Source organism: Homo sapiens, chromosome 8 (genome assembly GCF_000001405.40).
Source record: "Homo sapiens chromosome 8, GRCh38.p14 Primary Assembly".
NCBI classification, from domain to species: domain Eukaryota; kingdom Metazoa; phylum Chordata; class Mammalia; order Primates; family Hominidae; genus Homo; species Homo sapiens.
This window is the reverse complement of record NC_000008.11, coordinates 127041903-127045449: the sequence shown is the minus strand read 5'-3', so window position 1 is coordinate 127045449 and position 3547 is coordinate 127041903. Positions and strand designations below refer to the sequence as shown.

Below are 3547 nucleotides of genomic sequence, written 5' to 3'. Positions count from 1 at the left end.
CTTGAAGAGGTCTTTCACTTTCCTTGTAAGTTGTATTCCTAGGTATTTTATTCTCTTTGTAGTAATTGTGAATGGGAGTTCACTCAAGATTTGGCTCTTTGTTTGTCTATTATTGGTGTATAGGAATGCTTGTGATTTTTGCACATTGGTTTTGTACCCTGAGAATTTGCTGAAGTTGCATATTAGCTTAAGGAGATTTTGAGCTGAGATGATGGGGTTTTCTAAATATACAGTCATGTCATCTGCAAATAGAGACAATTTGACTTCCTCTCTTCTGATTTGAATACGCCTTATTTCTTTCCCTTGCCTGATTTCCCTGGTCAGAACTTCCAATACTATGTTGAATAGGAATGGTGAGAGAGGGCATCCTTGTCCTGTGCCGGTTTTCAAAGGGAATGCTTCCAGCTTTTGCTCATTCTGTATGATACTGGCTGCGGGTTTGTCATAAATAGCTCTTATTATTTTGAGATACATTCCATTGATACCTAGTTTTTTGAGAGTTTTTAGCATGAAAGGCTGTTGAACTTTGTCAAAGGCCTTTTCTGCATCTATTGAGATAATCATATGGTTTTTGTCATTGGTTCTGTTTATGTAATGGATTACATTTATTGATTGGCATATGTTGAACCAGCCTTGCATCCCAGGGATGAAGGCAACTTGACTGTGGTGGATAAGCTTTTTGATGTGCTGCTGGATTCGGTTTGCCAGTATTTTATTGAGGATTTTCGCGTCAATGTTCGTCAGGGATATTGAGCTAAAATTCTCTTTTTTTGTTGTGTCTCTGCCAGGCTTTGCTATCAGGATGATGCTGGTCTCATAAAATGAGTTAGGGAGGAGTCTCCCTTTTTCTATTGTTTGGAAAGTTTTCATAAGGAATGGTACCAGCTCCTCTTTGTACCTCTGGTAGAATTTGGCTGTGAATCCGTCTGGTGCTGGGCTTTTTTTGATTGGTAGCTAATTAATTACTGCCTCAATTTCAGAACTTGTTATTGGTCTATTCAGGGACTCAACTTCTTCCTGGTTTAGTCTTGGGAGAGTGTATGTGTCCAGGAATTTATTCATTTCTTCTAGATTTTCTTGTTTATTTGCATAGAGGTGTTTATAGTATTCTCAGACGGTAGTTTGTATTTCTGTGGGATCAGTGGTGATATCCCCTTTATCATTTTTTATTGTGTCTATTGATTCTTCTCTCTTTTCTTCTTTATGAGTCTGGCTAATGGTCTATCTATTTTTTTAATCTTTTCAAATAGCCAGCTCCTGGATTCGTTGATTTTCTGAGGGGGTTTTCGTATCTCTATCTCCTTCAGTTCTGCTCTGATCTTAGTTATTTCTTGTCTTCTGCTAGCTTTTGAGTTTGTTTGCTCTTGTTTCTCTAGTTCTTTTAATTGTGATGTTAGGGTGTTTATTTTAGATCTTTCCCACTTTCTTCTGTTGACATTTAGTTGAGTGCTAGTAAAAAGTGCAAAGGTAGCATGCCAAACGGTGGGCTAGGCACTTCATTTACATTAGTGTATTTAATTATCATCACAATCCCAGGGATCTGGTTCTGTTAACTCATCCCCAGTTGGTAAATGAGGAATCTGAGGCACAGAGAGATGAAAGTCTTTCCCCATTCTCATGCTAAATAGAGTTCAAGCTGGGAGTCCAACCCAAGCCGCTTTTCTCCAGAACCTGCTCTCTTAAGTGTGTTAGGAAGAGTTGCTTCCCCAGTTTGGCATTCAAGATATTTCAATTAGTTAAAAGTTGAAAGTGAAGGGATGAAAAGAGAACATGAATTACAAACCCAAACTTTTTACCATTACTAGTATATGGTTCATAAAACAGTGTGAATGGGTGCTATTAATGCCACAAAAATGATACCTTTTTTTTTTCCTTACTCCAATTTCCATTCTTTTGGTTCTAAGTCTTTCTGACAAGAAGTATAGTTTTGCTATTTAATCCCTGCACCTGCTAGATAACTGTACTTGTCAGCCTTTATGCTGATAAAAGGGACTCTCTCACTCATTTACTCATTATCCAAATAGTTCTTGGATGCAAATAATTCTTGAGCACTTCCTGTGTGTAAGCATTACAAATTTCTGGTGGTGCAAGTGGGAATGTGCACACATACACCCTGTACCTGTCCTTATGGTGCTTTATGTATGGTGGGGAGATGAAGAGATATGTTAAACAAATACTTACATTTCTGACTATAGAATTTCAAACTTATGAGGATCTTGAGTGAAAGAATAATGGTCTCAAGAAAGGGTATGATGAGGAATGTACTTAAGTTGTCCATGAGGGGTATAGGTTCCCCAGCAGATGTCAATGAAGGCACCTAAGGGTAAGTGGTCTTTGAGCTGAAATTTAAAGTGTAAATAGAAGGGTGAGAAGAGAGATAAGTATAACATCCTTGTGGTGGGAGGGAACATGGCAAATTCAACAAACTGAAAGAATGTCTAGATACATAAAAGAATACTGACAGAACCCAGAGAAAGCTGACTCCAAAGAAGAAAAAGCAACCTCAGAATATATCCTGTAGGAAGGATATAAAGTCACTCGTTAATTTAACAGATGTGTATTGAATTTTTACTGCATGCCAGTGTTTGTGCCAGAGGCAGAAGATACTACAAAGAAAAATAAGACGTATTTTATTTTGATTATTGATCAAATAAACATTGATGCATTAATTCATTCACATTAATCTATATGCTTATAGATAGATATCTATATTATATATGATTAGATATTGAATTAGATATAGATACATCTCAAAGACTCACTCCAAACCTAATGAAGTATAATCCTCAGGTAAGGAACGACGATTCTGGGATTTTTTAAATATCAGAAATGAACCCTGTGGGCAGCTACGGATGAGAACCTGGTTTACACCAAGTTAAAATGGTTCTCATTGTAAGAAGCAAAAATTAAAATTCACATTTTAAGGTCAGTGGTTGGCCAAATTGTTTCTTCCCTCTAAAACTTGAAAACTACTACTATGAAATTCTAAAGGTAATAGTGAGCTCACTATGTCAAATGGGGGCGGGGAAGCAAGTCTTCTTTAGGAGCAGATATGAGAGTAGTTTGAGCCATATGCCCCAAAGCTGCACAGCAGATTTGTTAAGGCCCCCCAGAGGGGTATAAGCCCTGGTTAGGAATTGTTCCTGTAGGAACATTCATTTGATTTCTCATTTACTGGAGTATCCTGGTGACTTTAATGAAAGCAAATCTTATGCAAATTAAACAAAAATGATGAGCTTTGACAATAGACAGAAGCTGAATCTTAGCAAATGAATCTGCTTCTATTCTGATGACCTTAGCTTCCACTTGGCCTTTAGCCATGGAAGGCGAATGTTTATATGTAGCTTAATTGGTTAACAATATTTAAGTGCTTCAAGAGCTCCTCAACTTGGCATTAAAGAACAATTACCCATCATCACTGGCTTCCCAGAGCACTTGATAAAGCTGAGTCATACACCTGTCTCTGAGTGGAGGCTCTTAGGCAAGGGCATAGTGTTTTGCTAAATCTCTGAAGCACTTAGAAACACACCACATGATCTGCCCAGCC

The 3547-nt window shown here is 37.7% G+C and overlaps 1 annotated feature.

Annotated features, from left to right (window-relative positions):
• Nucleotides 1395-2011: an enhancer, noted in NCBI's record as "OCT4-NANOG-H3K27ac hESC enhancer chr8:128055684-128056300 (GRCh37/hg19 assembly coordinates)". NCBI's record gives its function as "activates a minimal SCP1, AML or CMV promoter by ChIP-STARR-seq in naive and primed H9 embryonic stem cells {active_cell/tissue: H9 hESC(naive and primed)}" and the evidence as "EXISTENCE:reporter gene assay evidence [ECO:0000049][PMID:30033119]".